A 17,283-nucleotide genomic window follows, 5' to 3' on the forward strand; every position below is an offset into this window, starting at 1 on the left:
AGAGACTGGTCTAATAATGCCCAAAGAGCATGTTATCTTACAATAAACATAAACAATTAAAGTAGATCAGCCTAGTTTCCAAAAACATCAATAATTTTCAAAGTTTACAAGAATCACTTGTAAATTTCCACATGGCTACTCTTCTAGAACTGCTATTCTAATAATGTCTGGGAACATAAGCAACTGCCTATAGTAAGAAGTAATGATTCTCATATGCCCACATAAAGGTATGGAAAAATGCTCACTGCCTAGATCGCTTAATTTTTTTTTTTTTTTGTAATTAACTAAGACTAGTAATTGCTGGTTTTCAGATGTAACTGGTTTGAGAGACAGTAGTACCGTGCAAAACGGAGATACTACTGTGGCAAAGGATGCTTGAGTTTAAATAGCCAGAAACACCTTTACCGATACACAAATATTTTAGATGTGTCCCTACTTTATTTGAAATACTGATTCCAACCTGGAACTGCAAAAGGGATAGGAGATGTGATTGATACGGCAATTTGGGTCAAGTAAATGTAAGTACAGTGTAAGAAATCACCAAATTGATTTACATAACTGCTTGAAAACAAAATACAAAGCATTTATTAGTTATGAGCTGTTGTTGAAGGTCTGCTTTAGTATATAGCTTTCACTAATGTATACTTTTCCTCATGCCTTCTCATCCTTAAGTTTCTCCTTATTAAAATAGTATAAAATGAGTTATATTTGGAAAAGTTAACCTAACTCCTTTTGTGAAACACAAAATATTTGGAGTTGCCAAAACTATTTGAATGTTTCACTGCTTGTAATCTTGTTTGTATTCAACTGTTAACATATATATATATATACATATAATTTTGAGTCAACTACTCAATTTTCACTTTTTCATCTTTAATATGAGAAATATAAAATAAACCCTGTATCATATAGCAATTTAGCTCCATCTGGAAGAAAAGCAAATGTAACCATGTGATATCTTAAAATTCCTGTAGCTTTCCTATGAGAAAAAAGTTTAAATATGGGAACTGAGGCTTATTTGGGGGTACATGATTTTAATTTTCTCCTAGTATTAAAAAGACAAAAAAAGTTTCATAATTTGTCATTTATTGAGTCCAAATGTTTATGCTTGCAATACTAAATATTTTGTTTTTTCTCTCAAGACAAAAAAAAAATCCAAGGCAGTCTGTTTTCTCCTCTTAAATGTAAAGTGATTTCATCAGTAATATTTCAGAAAGTAGAAAAAAACTATGCTTTGATTGCATCATCACAATATGGGGGGGATACATGGATCTTGATCCGGGCATTTTACCATAAGGTAGTAAACAACTGGTGACCTCTCTATTTTGATTGTGTTGAAAAAGGGCTACCACCTTGGCTTGCTGAAGGTTTGCTAGAGCTCAAAACAGGAAAAGTACTAGCTTAAAAGGCATGCTGAGATTTTAAAGGTCCTAAAGCTCAGGTTTAAGTAACTTTTAAACAATCAAAAATAGGCATTTTGAATTCAAGTGTAAGCTCTGAATTTTCAAGGAGTTTCATATTAAATTACTTTTTGGTACTTGAATTACTAACTCAGGACATAGATGGAATGCACAGTGTATCTCTCTTACACTATTAAAAAATTAGATCTGTCCAGGGGCAGTGGCTCATGCCTGTAATCCCAACACTTTGGGAGGCCAAGGTGGGCGGATCATGAGGTCAGGAGATTGAGACCATCCTGGCTAACACAGTGAAACCCCGTCTCTACTAAAAATATAAAAAAATTAGCTGGGCTTGGTGGTACGCACCTGTAGTCCCAGCTACTCAACAGGCTGAGGCAGGAGAATCACTTGAACCCGGGAGACGGAGGTTGCAGTGAGCTGAGATTGCACCACTGCACTCCAGCCTAGGCGACAGAGCGAGACTCAGTTTCAAAAAAAAAAAAAAAAAAATTAGAACTTAGTCATTCCTTCATGAATTCCAAAATTAAGATTGTATTAAAGACTGTAAATCTTGTTTGCATTAGTAAATTTTTAATTATAAAAATTCAATGCTATCATAAAACATACATGAGAAAAGTGTGATATTAATCATCTAACTTGAGAACTAGAAGTAATTTGGGTGCCAGGTGCAGTGGCTCGTGCCTATAATTCCAGCAATGCAGGAGACTAAGGTGGGAGGATTACTTGAGTCCGGGAGTTGGAGTCCAGCTTGAACAACACAGCAAGATACTAACTATATAAATGAAAAAGAATTAGCCAGGTTTGTTGGTGCATGGCTGTAGTCCTACCTACTCAGCAGATGGAAGCAGGAGGATTGCTTGAACCCAGGAGTTCGAGGATGCAGTGAGTTACAATCATGCCACTGCACTTCAGCCTGGGCAACAGTGCGAGACCCCATCTCTTAAAAAAAAAAAGAGAAAGGGAATTTTGCAATACTAAGTTAAGCTTTTCCTAAGAGGTAGTCTGAAGTGTACAAATACTGCAGCAGGGAATTATTCACCTAAATATTTAATCTTCTTTATAGGTCAATGTATGCAAACACAGTATTTAAAAATCCATTTCATATAATTTGAGATCTCATTTTTAAATATGTAGTCTGGAATATAAACATATAGATATTATGAATACTCTTGTAAAACAAAAAGGAGAATTGGGTAACAAAGTAGGGTATCCTGGCTGGAGGCACCTCCAGGCATAGGGAAAGTTGCATAACAGGTAGGTGAGTAAAGTGCTCTCTGCAATAGAAAAGAATCACTTGGTGAGGCCAAAAACTCCTAACAAATCCTAATATGCAGGTAAACTTCATCGTCCAAAGGGCTGATCGGAATTTTAATACTTCCATTGCCAAAAATCTGACTCTATTTGAGGAGTTTCAGATGGAAGCCTTTAACTTTTAAAATGGAAATCAAAGGCAAAGCAGAATTTTGCTTTAAAGAAATTCCTTTCATAGGAGATAAATTTCATTAAAATTTTAATATGGTATTTGGAAAATACGAAAACAATTAAAAATCATATATAAGTATCAAAATAATTTTTAAAGTCCTTTTTAAAGGCACTTAACTGTTCTAATCCTAAATGAAAGAAAATAATCCTAAATCAATATTGTTCTCCCTCCCATTTAGAAAAAGCCTTGAAACTCGATTGAATTTTCTTCCAAGCATACTTAAAGGACCAACAATCAGTCTACAATTCTAATCCTTTCCTATTAAAATTCCTGTGGATAGATGGTGTTAGTTTATAGCCAAACTTTGTTGGAAATAATTTGAAGAAAAAAAATTAAAACCTAGAGAAGGCTCATTCACGATTCAGAATTTTCTGTTTAAAAATCTTTCAAAGTATGTTATATCACTTATTTTCATCAGTTAACGTCATGGCTCTTAATGATATATTTTTTAAAGTGATGCTTCTGTTATTTTCTGCAAAACGTCATTCTGCATAAACTTTACTGCAAAACAGACCCATCACTATTTCTCCTTCTCTCCATTATATTGTTTATCCTGTTTTCATAAATTTATCTTTAAAAAAATCCATTTGAAAAACTGTTACTTGTGATATCCTGTTTTCTAAAACCACTATTTTAAATCTAGTTTTTCAGTCTTGTTATTTACCTGGAATTTTGTTTCCCCATTTCCTTAAATGATTTAAACTTTGAGGATTGGCTGCTGATTCTTCTACTGCCATTCAGTACTACAAAAGGAAAACTGATATTGGTACACATATTCCAAATACAGCTTTTAATAGTACCTGTGTGATAGCTCCCTCTCACTGTTTTTAATCTTTTATAATGTGAAGATTTAGAACCAATCCTTAAATAGTAAGAAAGTTAGAACACAATCTAATACAGAATCAATCATATTCAGGACACCCTGAATGCAAATACTTCATAATACAGTTTTATAGTTTAATGGACAATGTTTAACATGGCACCTCTCAAATCTGATATATCTTGTGGTGCTTACAATTTGCCTTACACTTTCATTTAAAGTTACCCTGTTCTCCACTCACCACATGTATAAAATATCCTATTTTTTCTCTTAATGTTTTACAAACCGGTAATTTTCACTATCAGTAGCGGATCTTTTTATAACTCACCCTATGTTGCCCAAAATACACCAATAATATAATGATTAGATTAAAAAACTTGGCATCTTTTTTAAAAAAATGTGCTTTCTTTTCCGTGTATAAGATTCTACTATACCATTTGTGAATGACACCCTAGTTACATAACACCTACATATCTGCCCCTGTGAGAATTTACCTTAGTCTTCTAAGACTCTATCTTCAACAGTTAGATAAGTCAATAACCAGAGTTCAAAGAAAAGTAGTTACTTTTTAAGACCAAATTATTGGATAACTGGTCTTGTCAATATGGCTTAACATTAATATGGCTATAACATAGGGACTAGCCCGTTTTTTTTTTTTATTAACAATGTGACCTGATCACAATTCTTTAAAGTCTAGACTAGTTTTCCGTATGTTTTCCACATTTTATTCTGACATCATATCTTTTAAAAACAAAAGGATGCGAACATTTGCACTTCTCAATGTTTTTTTTTTTCCCATAGATGTAGTTTCACTTATTTCCTTCAGGCTTTTTATCAGCAAGAAGCAATGTCTGATTTTGATACCACCCATTTGCTATGAAAATATAAGAAGGCGTCATCTTCAAAGCAACACTCCAGTTGGGCTTCTTCATCGTTTAGCTGCATGATTTCTTCTACGACATTTGTAACAGACACAACGTATATAGAATTTCAGTTTGGGTTTTTTTATCCTTTTTTTTCTTTTTTAAAATAAGTATGTTTTCTGCTTATTTGTGTTTTCTTTTCTTTGAATATATTGCACAATATTTTATTATTAAAAAAAGGTTTTATGTCTCAGGCAAAAAGTTTTTCTCCTTCAATCGGGAGGTGTTAATGTGTATTATTTTCTAAAAGAGGTAAGTGGTTGTCTGTGTGGCCATCCTCAAAAGGAACCTAAGGAGAAAAGGAGGGAAAAAAAGACCAAAGAATTAGTTTTATTCCTTATACTCTTTCCTCTAAACACAAGGTTTTATTTTGGGCAATCCTTTCTAGTAACCAAAAGCTACTATTTCTCTCTCTCTCTCCCCCTATTTCTCTATCTCTCTATCTCTATCTTTTTTGAGGCAGGGTCTGCTCTGTCACCCAGGCTGGAGTGCAGTGGTACGTACGATCATAGCTCACTACAACCTCAACTTCCTGGGCTCAAGTGATCCTCCCACTGTGCCCTCCCAAGTAGCTGGGACTACAGGCTTGCACCACCTTGCCTAGCTAATTTTTTCTATCTTTTGTAGAAATGGGGCTCTCACTATGTTGCCTTGACTGGTCTCAAACTCCTGGGCTCAAGCGATCCTCCCGCCTTAGCCTCCCAAAGTCTTGGGATTACAGGTGTGAGCCACCATGACTGGCTCATAGACTTAACAATGATTCTAAGATTTAGAGATCAGCACCATGTATACTACACCACTTACAGAATTGACAGGTTTATAGGATCCAAGTCTGAAACGACAGCAAATTATTTCAACTATAAATTTTCCAATTCCATGTAACATGCCTGTAATAAACAATAAGTTTATGCTTTTAATTATTTCCTAAACTGTTATTTAAGAATAAATAACTATAATGGAATAGATTACGGAAGAAAACAAAGCAGTTTGCATTATTCACTTCCATGGTTAAAAATAATCAAGAAAGATTTTAAAACAAATGGATTTCTTTTCAAAGTCACAAGGCCACATAATTCACGATCTCAGCACAATCTTTTTTTTTTTGAGACGTCTCACTCTGTTGCCCAGGCTGGAGTGCAGTGGTGCAATCTTGGCTCACTGCAACCTCCACCTCCCAGCTCAAGCAATTCTTGTGCTTCAGCCTCCCAATTAGCTGGGATTACAGGCATGTACCACCATGCCCGGCTAATTTTTTATATTTTCAGTAGAGACGGGGTTTAGCCATGTTGGCCAGGCTGATCTGGAACTTCTGGCCTCAAGTTGATCCGCCAGCCTTGGCCTCCCAAAGTGTTGGGATTATAGGCATGAGCCACTGCACCGGGCCTAAACACAATCTTTTCAAGGTTTTCCCACACCAATACAATTTTGGAAAATAAATGATGTCAACAACACAAATTTAAATAGATTGAAATGAAGCACTAACAAAGAATTTCGAAAGAAAAGCTATTCATTCATTTAAAAATATGATTCTAAGTATAATAAACTACCCAGCTCCATCTAATACTGAATAAGGACTGAAGATGAAAATAGAATTGTTTCCTTTTTCTCTATTGTACTTAACTCCCAATTTTCATCATTACAATTCGACAAATAATCTTAGCGAATTCCAGGATCTCAGGACAAAAATCATAAACATGTTACTGATTACAAATCTAGTTTCATGTATTGCATAATTCAAAGTACTATAACATATGATTTTACATACTGTACAGTTAAAAATGTCTTAAATGCCTTCTAGGCATTTTCATATTTAATCCTATAGCACACTTGCAAATTAGGTATTATTATTGCTATTTTTACTGATTAGAAAACCTCAGAAAAGGTAGGTGATCTATTCCAAGCTACCACCAAGTAAATGACAGAACTTACATTCAATTCTACTTCAATCTGATGTTAACACCCAGGATCTTTCCAACTCACCATTATATAATCTACCTTACATCATTGAATACAATGAAATTAGTTATGTTTACTGGTTAGTCAATATAATTTTGGAGTTTTGTAATTAAAGCAAAAGCTATTTAAACACCGAAACATGAAAATCTGTATACTTCTTGCCCCTTTGAGAAGAAGCAACTTAAGTATAAGCAACACTTTCAGAAATTAGACAAAAAGGAAATGGTTGTTAACCTGTTGTTGAAAAGATTCCTCCAACAATACCACAGAGTCTTACAAAAAACTGCCAGAATGGCATGTGCTCCTCAGTAACTGTCACCATAAGAGAACTGAGATCATATTTCATAAATATCCCAGAGACTCCATGGCTGCCTGCAGCATGGTTAATGATACGTTCCTAAAAGGGAGGCAAAAGGAAGGGGAGAAATAGGAGGAAGAGAGAAACAGAATTCATGTCATCTGGTTACTTACATACATTCAATATTAAGCCCTGAAGCCCTACTGTAAAAGAAGGACATCCACATTTCCTTATGAACTGTCCTACTAGACTAAGCTCTTCAGAGACAAATTATTTTGTATTCTTTGTGTGGTTAGCTTTTGAAACTATCAAAAGAGCAGAATCATTCTTTTTTTCTCAAAAAGGTCACCTTAGATACAAGTTTTCTACTGAGCTCAAGAGCTTACAAATATGTATGGCATGTTCCTCATGCTATAACTAAACTGCAAGCTTTAGGAATACAAATAATGAGGTTAACTACTACCAAGGGAAATTAAAACAGTTTTACGTAGGGCATTACAAAACTCTTTCCCTATTACTAGCACAATACAGCCTTATAAGCCAACTGATCAAGTTTCCAATAAAGTGACTACATCTTAAAGCTCTAAAATGCTCAATATCATGCTGAGTTATAAATATATTGTCACTACCTATAAGGGTAGAAACTGTTTTAGGGATCAGGGCATATACATAATGAAAGACTAATAATGATTCACTTTGGGTTCCAGGACTAATGAATGTCAGCCCTCTCCCTCCCACCCCCTATCCTGCATTTTACCAACCCCAGTTACTCCATTCTTTTTTAAGTTAAAAAACTATTTTAGTCACCCTATCAGTATAAACACATCCTTCAACAGTCAAATGCCCTGGGATTCTATTACATATGTATTTTTGGCTTTGTTATTTTAAAAATATACCCTGGAGATATTTTCCTATCAGTATATAGAAATCCTTCTCATTTGATTTTTAACAATTGCATCTTCCTCCAGTGTGTGTAGATGTACCATCTGGGTTGTTTCTAATCTTCTACTATTACAGATAACAATGCAACGAATAGCCTGAAACACACATTTTTATATTTTTGCCCACCGTATCTTTGGAATAGCTTTCTCGAAGTGCAATTGCTGAGTCAAAGGATAAATGCATAGGTCCTTTTGCAGATACTGCTAAACTACCTTCCTCAAAGATTATGCCACTTTGCATCCCCATAGCACTGCATGTTTGCCTATTTTCCCCAAAGTCTTCTCAACTGTATGTATTGCCTTGAGGTGTTTGCCAATCTTACAGGTGAGAAATGGAATCTCCCTACTCCTTAAAGAAATGTTGAAAAGCACAATATGTTCTGGTATAAACTTTACCTAGTTTCTTTGTGTGAGTGTATATACACACATACCTATACATATATATGCAGTTATATGAACTTGTACTTTCTCCCAAGCCAAGTGAAAAGCTATAGACACATGACACTTCACCCCTAAAAACTCCAATACCTAATCTCATAAGAACAAAAAAAAAAATTCCACAATTATTGAGGGCATGGTCATCATGAGTTATAAGGCTAGTAAAAGAAAACACTATATAAAGGAAAGCAAAATTTTTAAAGCACTTAAATTTTGCCTTAGAATTCTTCTGGATACAAGTGTTTGAATTCACCATTCAAACACAAAAATAAGAAAACATGACCCCAAAGTAGATAAGAAATCTATTAAACTGTCCAATTCCAAAACTTTGCTCATCACTGTCAGTATTTACTTATATGGCCATACCACCCTGAGGTAGTGGAATGTTCTTCATCACAATCAGATGAATACAAAGCATTAATTTAGGAAGGCAAACCCTCTAAATTTGCTATCTAATCCATGATAACCATGTATGCCCAGAGAAGGTAGTACATTTATTAATAAATAAGTAACAGAATTCAAAGAATCTGCTGCCAGATCAAGAACTGCTTATATCAATTTATGAGAAAACATTTATAAAATTAAGACATTAAGAATAAAATAATTAAGGCCATCACAATTTAACAATTTTAAGTCTTAATGCAATAGAAAACCTTTCAGATTTTTTAAATATCTACTTTTATTGCTTTAGAATATACTAATATTCATTTCTGACATATTTCTGATTTAAAATAAAATGTTAATTCATTTCAAAACTTCCACAGATTTTTAAATGAGGGAAGACACCAAGTAAAACACCACCTTATTTTGTAGCCAGGAAACTTTAAAATGCTTTTTTAAAAAAATCACCAAATTATTTTACCGGTTGGATTCAACTTACCCTTTCTGTCACAGAAAACTGATGGGTGTCTGCTGATATTTTATATGTATGTAGTTTTGTTGGCACAACTGTAATAAAATATTGGAACATCTGGTTGTCTAGAATACAAAAAAAACTTTTTATCAATTCAGTAGCAACAAAACTACTGCCAAATATATTCTTCTATTAAACACATTTAACCTGAAATTTAGCTGGATGTGGTGGCTCACACCTGTAATCTCAGCACTTTGGGAGGCTGACGAAGGAGGACTGCTTGAGTGTGGGAGTTCAAGAACAGTCTCGAACTTGAGTCTGGGAGTTCGCGACCAGTCTGGTCAAGAGAGCCAGACCCTGTCTCTACAAAAAATTTAAAAATTAACTGGGCATGGTGGTATGCACCTGTGGGTCCCAGCTGTTCAGGAGGCTGAGGCAGGAGGATCATATGAGCCCAGGAAGTCAAGGCTGCAGTGAGCCATGATTGTGCTACTGCACTCCAGCCTGGGCAACAGAGCAAGAACCTGTCTCAAACAAATAAAAAATAAAAACATTTAATCTGAAATGTAATGTTACATACAACTTAATGTCTAACAAAAAAAATTTTTAAAAGAACCAATGAAAGCAACATATTTATACTCGGTAAAACAAGTTCTCAGCAAGCATAAGATGGGCAACACAGATGTTTAAAAAAATGAATTGGTGACTTAGTTAAATATTCCTTAAAATCGTTAACATCCTTTTATCAATTATGGAAAAGTAGCATTTTTCTTTTTCCTTTTTTTTTTTTTGAGATAGGGTCTCACTCCATCGCCCAGGCTGGAGTGCAGTGGCGCAATCACGGCTCACTGCAGCCTTGACTTCCTGGGCTCCAGCAATCCTCCCGCCTCAGCCTCCTGCGTAGCTGGGACTACAATGCACGCCACCAAGCCCAACTAAATTTTTTTCATTTTTAGTAGAGACAGGGTTTTGCCATGTCGCCCAGGCTGGTCTCAAACTCCTGGGCTCAAGTGATCCTCCTGCCTCAGTCTCCCAAAGCGCTGGGATTATAGGTGTGAGCCACTGCACCCAGCCAGCATTTCTTTATAGTACAGAAACTAAGAATAAAATAAAATTATAAGAGAATAACCACCACAAGACATATTTTCAGTTTCTACTAATATCTTAAGATATACACTAAACCAAAATCAAATTAGCTAGCCTTTGAATAAATACAAGGAACTGATATTACAGTAGGAAGAAAACTAAAGAAACTACTCAATGATGGCCTGGGGTTACTGTATAATCAAAAGGATCATTTTTATACAGTCATTAGGCATCTCTAAGTTTGACACAAGTTTTAAATACCAGAATATTACCAATTACTAATTAACTGTAAACAATTACCCATTCACATAATATAAAACATGTTAATTCTCCGGGTCTAGAGAATTCTCTAGAAAAAGTATAATTAGATACACCTATCCATAGATTCAACTAGAGAAGCAAGTAAATGTTTTTATTATCCTTTTGTTAGAGATGAAGCAACTCAAGTACAGGGATGTTAAGAAACAGGCCAAAGTCCAAGTTATTAAGTGGCAGAGTGAGAACTTGAACCCAGGCGGTTCCACTCAAGGGGAATATGGTCTTAAATTTAAGCAGAAAAAATTCTCCCAGATTTAAATAGAAGCTTGCACCCCTTTGTACATAAAAGAGTAAAAGCTTTGACCTTCCTCTCCACTTCTCTCTCACTCATGGAAGGAATGATTCATCTGCAAAAAGTAATCATGTGTGGCTAAGCCACTCAATTAGATAGTATAGGCATTCTCTCTCTTAAACAGCTCTGTCTTCAAGACATACATAACCACCTTCTACCATTAGGAAAGTGAGCCATCCCTGCCATTTGAGAAGTCAGCAGGGTAGGAGGAGTATGGAGTTAGGTTGTCCAGTTTGTGGCAGCACATATAGGTTGTTTTATTTCTACCGGCTTCATTAATAATAAAGCTGCCTGCAATGCTCTCAAAAAGATAATCGCTTAGCTCACTTATTTACTTCACTCAAGTTTTTTTCAAATACCACAGCCTCTTCCATGCCCTTTCTCATATCATAGGCAATCTCCTTTATTTTGTTCAGAGCCGTTTGCCCTAACACTTATTACCTAAAGATCTAATTCCCTATAGGAACGTGCGCTCTATGAAGGGCAGGGACTATGTCTACCTTGTTTATCCAAATCTGTACTGCATTAAAGATGTTAATTGTTAAGTAACTCCTGCAATACTTCTGGAGAACATCAGGAAAGGGATAGCTACCTGACATAGCAGATATGTAATGTTGATTTTTTTCTTTTTGGAAAAAGAGGCTGAAAAAAACATATATTACGAAGGAGAAAAGTATACAAACTGCTTTAAAGCTTTGAAAAACCTGATGATACTCACCTAACGGCATTTCAGAATATGACTCTAAATACCTCTTAGTTTCTCTGAATTTATAAAGAAGTACACTTAAAAACAGCTTTTTGAAAATTGACCTGTTTATATTTAGAAGAGCTTCTGTGCAAAAATTTGTAGTTCATTTTAGCATCTTGAAACAAAGCATCGACCAGTATGTTTCCAAATGAGCATCTCTCAGGTAACATGCAATGCATTTCAGAGGAGAATTAACATATGCTTAGATTACAGATTAGATTATACTGACTAAAGCTTATAAATCTCAAAATGTTTCCATCCACACATTTCTAAATTTAGTACACTCAGGTTTCCTGAAGTGAAACATTCCCACATGAACATAAAATATTCATGAATGTAAATCAGTATTCTAAATTCTAAACATCTTTAATATATGATTATAACACTGCTAAAAAGTAAAGAATATGAATAAATCTGAATAGGATATTAATAAATCTACTTAAATTAATAAAAAACTAAATCCTTAATTACAATTTTACAAAGGATAGAATTCCTACTAGCTGAACAAGCTTCAGAAGTCCTTAAAATGTCCAATAGCTGGAACATGGTATATAATATGACTATTTTAGAAAGAGGCAATCAAAAACCTGCAGAAAACATGAGAACAGACTACTTTCTAAAAAACTAAGAAAATGATCTTTCCATATTTGGATAGACTTGATACTTTAAATGGAGCAGAAGGTTAAATAGAACATTTTAAAAAGGTTATCTGTGCTATAATGTACTCCTTCTATGTTAATAACCAAACCATTCCAGAATAACTAGGTTTCTGGTGTTTGTAAAATTCTCCAGAGAGGTTTCTGAAATGATATATATGCATTTTAAAACTTTGAACCTATATTATACAAAGAAGAAAATTCTTCTCATAATGTTGAACCTTTTTTTCATTCTTATTCTTTGGTGAATACAAAAAAGTGCAGTTATGCCCTGTTAATGTATTAACCTTTCATCTATTTCTACTGTTTAAATTGAACTCCTTCTGCCTTTTAATTCCTTCATCTTTTAACTTGAATTTCTTTATTCTGTTCTATGGCTCATTTTTGAATATTCAAATTTCATCCACTACTAGGACAAATTCTCTTCACATACATCTCAATCACCAACCACTTAAAGATTATCTTTACACAGTAGTTAGGAAGACATTAAAAATGTATTAATATTCAGGTTATAAGCAAAATTTTCTACATGTAAAATCCAACAATAATTATTAAATACTTACGATCTATAGCAATTTTTTCAGTTCCATCTAAAGGATTAATAATTGCTGGAACAAGCTCTCCAAAAGACAAATGATCTATTCTATGAGAAAAATTGTAAGCTAAAAGGCAAAAAATAAAAACAACTTAGCAGAGAAATTATATTATTCAAAATTACTTGGTACAGACTGGTTTACATCCTTATCTATTCTCAAATGAAAATGTTTAAAATCTTCAAGGATAATAATACAGTATTTTAAGCCACAATACTTTGAGAAAAATAAATGTAAATATATGCGAATTAAATGTATAAAATAAATTCTGACAAAATGCTATATCTCAAATTTAATAATTATATACAATTTAACGTCTAGAAAATATTAATATATAATGAAAGCCAAAAATATACATCTTTCCTTTTCCAAATCATCATATAGTTAACAGGACGGTATTGTTAGAATTGGAATGATGGCCATGTGGCCATATAATAAAACTGATCAGATATATTTTTAATACACTATTGCTAAATGTGACCAAACTAATTTTCTGTGGAATCCATTACTTGTTTTGTCCTCTAAAGCAGACTTTAAGAACTTAAGTCTTAAGACAATCATGATACCAAACTAACCTGAATACTTTATACATGTCTATACATCCATATTTCAATTTGCAAATTGAAATAAACTGCAAATATATTATTTTCTTTATCCCTAAAAATTAGCAGAAATGTGTACAAAGTTATAGAAAGTACACTAGGCTTTCCTCCCTAACCTCAGCAACTCAGAGCCATGACCAAATACAAATGCAGATTAAAGTAAATCAATTTAAAAATTTATTTTTTCCTTTGGATGAATATGTTTTCAAAACAGCTCACTTTCAACTACACTATATCTGCACTTTTAAAAATAATATTTTTTCAAGTACATCTTTACTGAAAAAAAGTCAGAATCTGCTTACATTCATGGTTGACAAGTGCTGCCAAATGTGCATGACCACGAGGATGTGGAATTGCCCTGAAAGGAGAAAAAACAATTATTAAAGTAGTACCATTTATATGTATAATTAATTAAAATCAGAAACTGGATCTTCCCTAAGTTATATAATTTTTCTTAGTACAAAATAACATAAGAATGCATTTGGCCTATTGACTGAGCAGACAAGTCTACTCATCTCAGCAATGCAATAAACTGCTGGAGGTTGGCAAACATTTTTGGCAAAGAGCCAGATAGTAAATACTTTAGGCTTTGTGGACCATGATGCAAAATCAAGTATATTATGTAGTTACATAATGAGAAAAAGCAAATTTTCACAAACTTTTCATTGATATAATAGTAATGAGTCCTTTTTTTTGTAATACAACTGTTTTGCAGGGAGATTACACTTTGTTTAATTGGGGTTTGGAATGTTCCCTATTTTCAAAACTGACCATAAATCTTTATCTGATGATGATGATCTGTAATGAAATTTTAAATATTTCATCTTTGAAAATATTAATCCACGAGTATGTGTTGAGCATATTCATTGCTTGAAAGACATTTATAGAATTCCAGTAGATTATTCTCCTAATACTTATTTACTTATAAACATGTTATTATATTGCAGATTAATAACTTCCAATCTAAATTAAAGCAAAATTTCAATTGTGCAGTGAAATGAATTTGAAACATGGAAATTTCCTTTGTATTTGCATCAATGTCTGAAGTTCTGGAACTATAGTTTGAAAGGTCAGAAAATATATTCAAGTATGAGAATGAGTCCAGATCCTTGCTTTAACTTTTGACAGCAAACGCTATCAAGGCATGAAAATTAAAAGAAACCACTCAAAATCACTAGTCATTGAAACAACTTTACTACAATATAAATTTCATAAATATTGGTTTTCCCTTATACTTTTAGGCTAAATTCATTAAACATTATTAAGTCTGCATGAAACTTAATTTCCAAAAATATTCATTGCTCAATAATTGTAACTGATGGAAGTTCTCTCACTCAGAAAAAATTCAATCTTGGCACTGAGCTCAAAAAATATACTGCTAAGCCATCAAACTGCTATGTAGTAGGGCAAGATGGAATATTCAGTTTTTATATCTGACAAAAAAAAACCATGGAAATGTCAATATTTAGGTTCAGGAGAGCAAATGAAGTTTACCACTGACACACCAGTTTAAAATACAAAATCAATTCAAATATTTTCTGCAAAGCAATAGGCATTAAACACTACATTTTCACAAGGTTTGAAATGCATTCAAGTAAGCCTTTTTCTGCTCCACACACCACCATCAGTTATAATACATTTGTAACATATACCAGATTCCACTTTAGGATGTACTGAATTTGTGTTCTCTCAACTTCTATAAAAATATTCTTGCCTATAGTTTTTGTTGAAAGCAGGCGATTCATAGATACTAATTCTGCAATCACTTCAAATTCAGCATTGATTCCTCAAATAAACAATAAGCAGTTCTAGTAACATCTGTCCACTTATCAAGAGTTTAGGAACTACTCAAAATCTCCTGGCTTGTTTTTTAACTGGCTATTAGATACTGCTCTCAATGTCCTCATCTACCAGAACACTCTTCTTGAAGAAGGCTAGTCATCTGATTGTCTAAAGCAAATTTATTTTTTCTGGAGTCATTTCTTTAGCTTTGGCAGTCAAACATTGCTTCACAGACTTATCAATACTTGGATGGCTTTCCTTACTTGCTAAACAATGAGGCACTTAAAGATTACAGCTTCATTTTCACGTTTTATGATAAAATTCTACAGTGTTTGGATATTCCATTTTTAATTTTCTAATTTTTCTGATCATTGCTTTTTTATAGGTTGGTAATATTGTGATGAATGCTCAATCTGGCACCATCAACAGATACTGTATTCTTTTTAGCACAATTAAATAGTGTCATTGCTTAATACGCAGGATGTTCTGCAGCCAAATTTGATCAAATAATCCATGGTACACTGTGCTTTAAAAATGCAACATTTGAAGTCCATATTTCTTTTTTTTAACATAGTAATACAATAAATAAATAAAATGTTGCAGGACAGGAATACACACAGCACTTTTAATGCTGTCAAATTATAACTGCATCACTACAATTCATAGTACACCAAAGTACAAAGTAATGAGAGAGTCATATATGGTCTCTGCCATAATTACTCAACTGTGGTACTGTAATACAAAAGCAGCCATATATAAACAAATGAGCATGGCTATATGCCAATAAAACTTTATTTTTGGACACGAATTTAAATTTCATATATTTCTCATGTATTATATTACTCCCCTTCTGATTTATTTTCAAATATTTAAAAATGTAAAAACCATGTCTGGGCAAGGTGGCTCACACCTGTAATCCTAGCACTTTGGGAGGCCAAGGTGAGTGGATCACCTGAGGTCAGGAGTTCGAGACCAGCCTGGCCAACATGGTGAAACCCTGTCTCTACTAAAAATACAAAAATTAGCCGGGCGTGGTGGTGGGCTACCTGTAATCCCAGCTACTCAGGAGGCTGAGGCAGGAGAATCACTTGAACCTGGGAGGCAGAGATTGCAGTGAGCCCAGATCACGTCACTGTACTCCAGCATGAGCAACAGAGCGAGACTCTGTCTCAAAAAAATAAACAAACAAATAAATAAACAAAATTTAAAAGCCCTTCTTAGCTCATGAACCATACAAAAACAGGTAGTAGGCTGGATTTGGTATATAAACTGTAGTTTGCCTACCACTGCAGTAAACCTTTGTTCTGTTATACACTGTTATCTTTCAAATTTAACCTGTTCTTTTAGCACCTTTACACTTCTACAAATAAGTACTATCCTTCCCTGTTCCTGGTTAAAAAAAATTAAAAAATCACCTTGAAGATCTCCTTTATCACAATCCTGCTTTACCCAGTTACTAATTCTAGCAATTAACTAAAAAACTGAAAATAGAAACTCTCCATAAAGGAGCCTTCTTTCTTTATAACCAATTAACTGTCTGTTACCATTGTCAAGTTTCAGAATATGCCCTAGTAGGTCTAAACATTGTTTAATTTGTTCTATGTGTTACCTAGCAAAACACCAGGCACTTTAAAAAAGGCAATACAATGATTAGGGAAATGTATTAACTGACATTCAACATAAAGTATACTAAAACCTTGCTCAATAAAGCATTTCCTGATGCACTGGAATGATTGGTAGTTTGGTCTCGTAAATTCTTCTGTGTTCACAGTCAAGTGTATTACCTCAAGCTTACTACTAAAAAGAAAGTCTACTGTCATAAATTATTACTAGCTCCAATCATATTGTCAGTCTAACAGTGTTCCTACTATTATTTTCAAACAAACAACAAAGTTTTTCTGAATAACCAAATTACAATACTACACGTTGAATATCCCTTATCCAAAATGCTTGGGATCAGAAGTTTCAAATTTTAGATTTTAGAATATGTACATTTTATTTGCCAGGGAGGCCTCCCTAACCTGAAATCTGAAACACTCTTAAGCATTTCCTTTGAGCATCGTGTTGACAATG

General features: G+C 33.8%; 1 protein-coding gene across 3 annotated transcripts in view; it reads right to left on the reverse strand.

Moving 5' to 3' along the window:
* Positions 1–1,069: 1,069 nt before the first annotated feature.
* Positions 1,070–17,283, reverse strand: part of ERGIC2 (ERGIC and golgi 2) — a 43,821-nt gene continuing 27,607 nt past the window's right edge. For 2 of the 3 annotated variants that reach the window (NM_016570.3, XM_024449009.2), the window contains exons 9-14: positions 13,731–13,786; positions 12,797–12,895; positions 9,161–9,258; positions 6,838–7,000; positions 5,452–5,534; positions 1,070–4,936 (exon numbers count right to left, since the gene is read on the reverse strand). In NM_016570.3, the coding sequence (NP_057654.2) occupies positions 4,874–4,936; positions 5,452–5,534; positions 6,838–7,000; positions 9,161–9,258; positions 12,797–12,895; positions 13,731–13,786 (562 nt within the window). In that variant the 3' untranslated portion in view covers positions 1,070–4,873. The remainder of the gene's footprint in view (positions 4,937–5,451; positions 5,535–6,837; positions 7,001–9,160; positions 9,259–12,796; positions 12,896–13,730; positions 13,787–17,283) is intronic. The other variant, XR_001748741.3, reaches the window with a different exon arrangement.

The sequence above is a fragment of the Homo sapiens genome, chromosome 12 (genome assembly GCF_000001405.40).
Source record: "Homo sapiens chromosome 12, GRCh38.p14 Primary Assembly".
In the NCBI taxonomy this organism is placed as follows: Eukaryota; Metazoa; Chordata; class Mammalia; order Primates; family Hominidae; genus Homo; species Homo sapiens.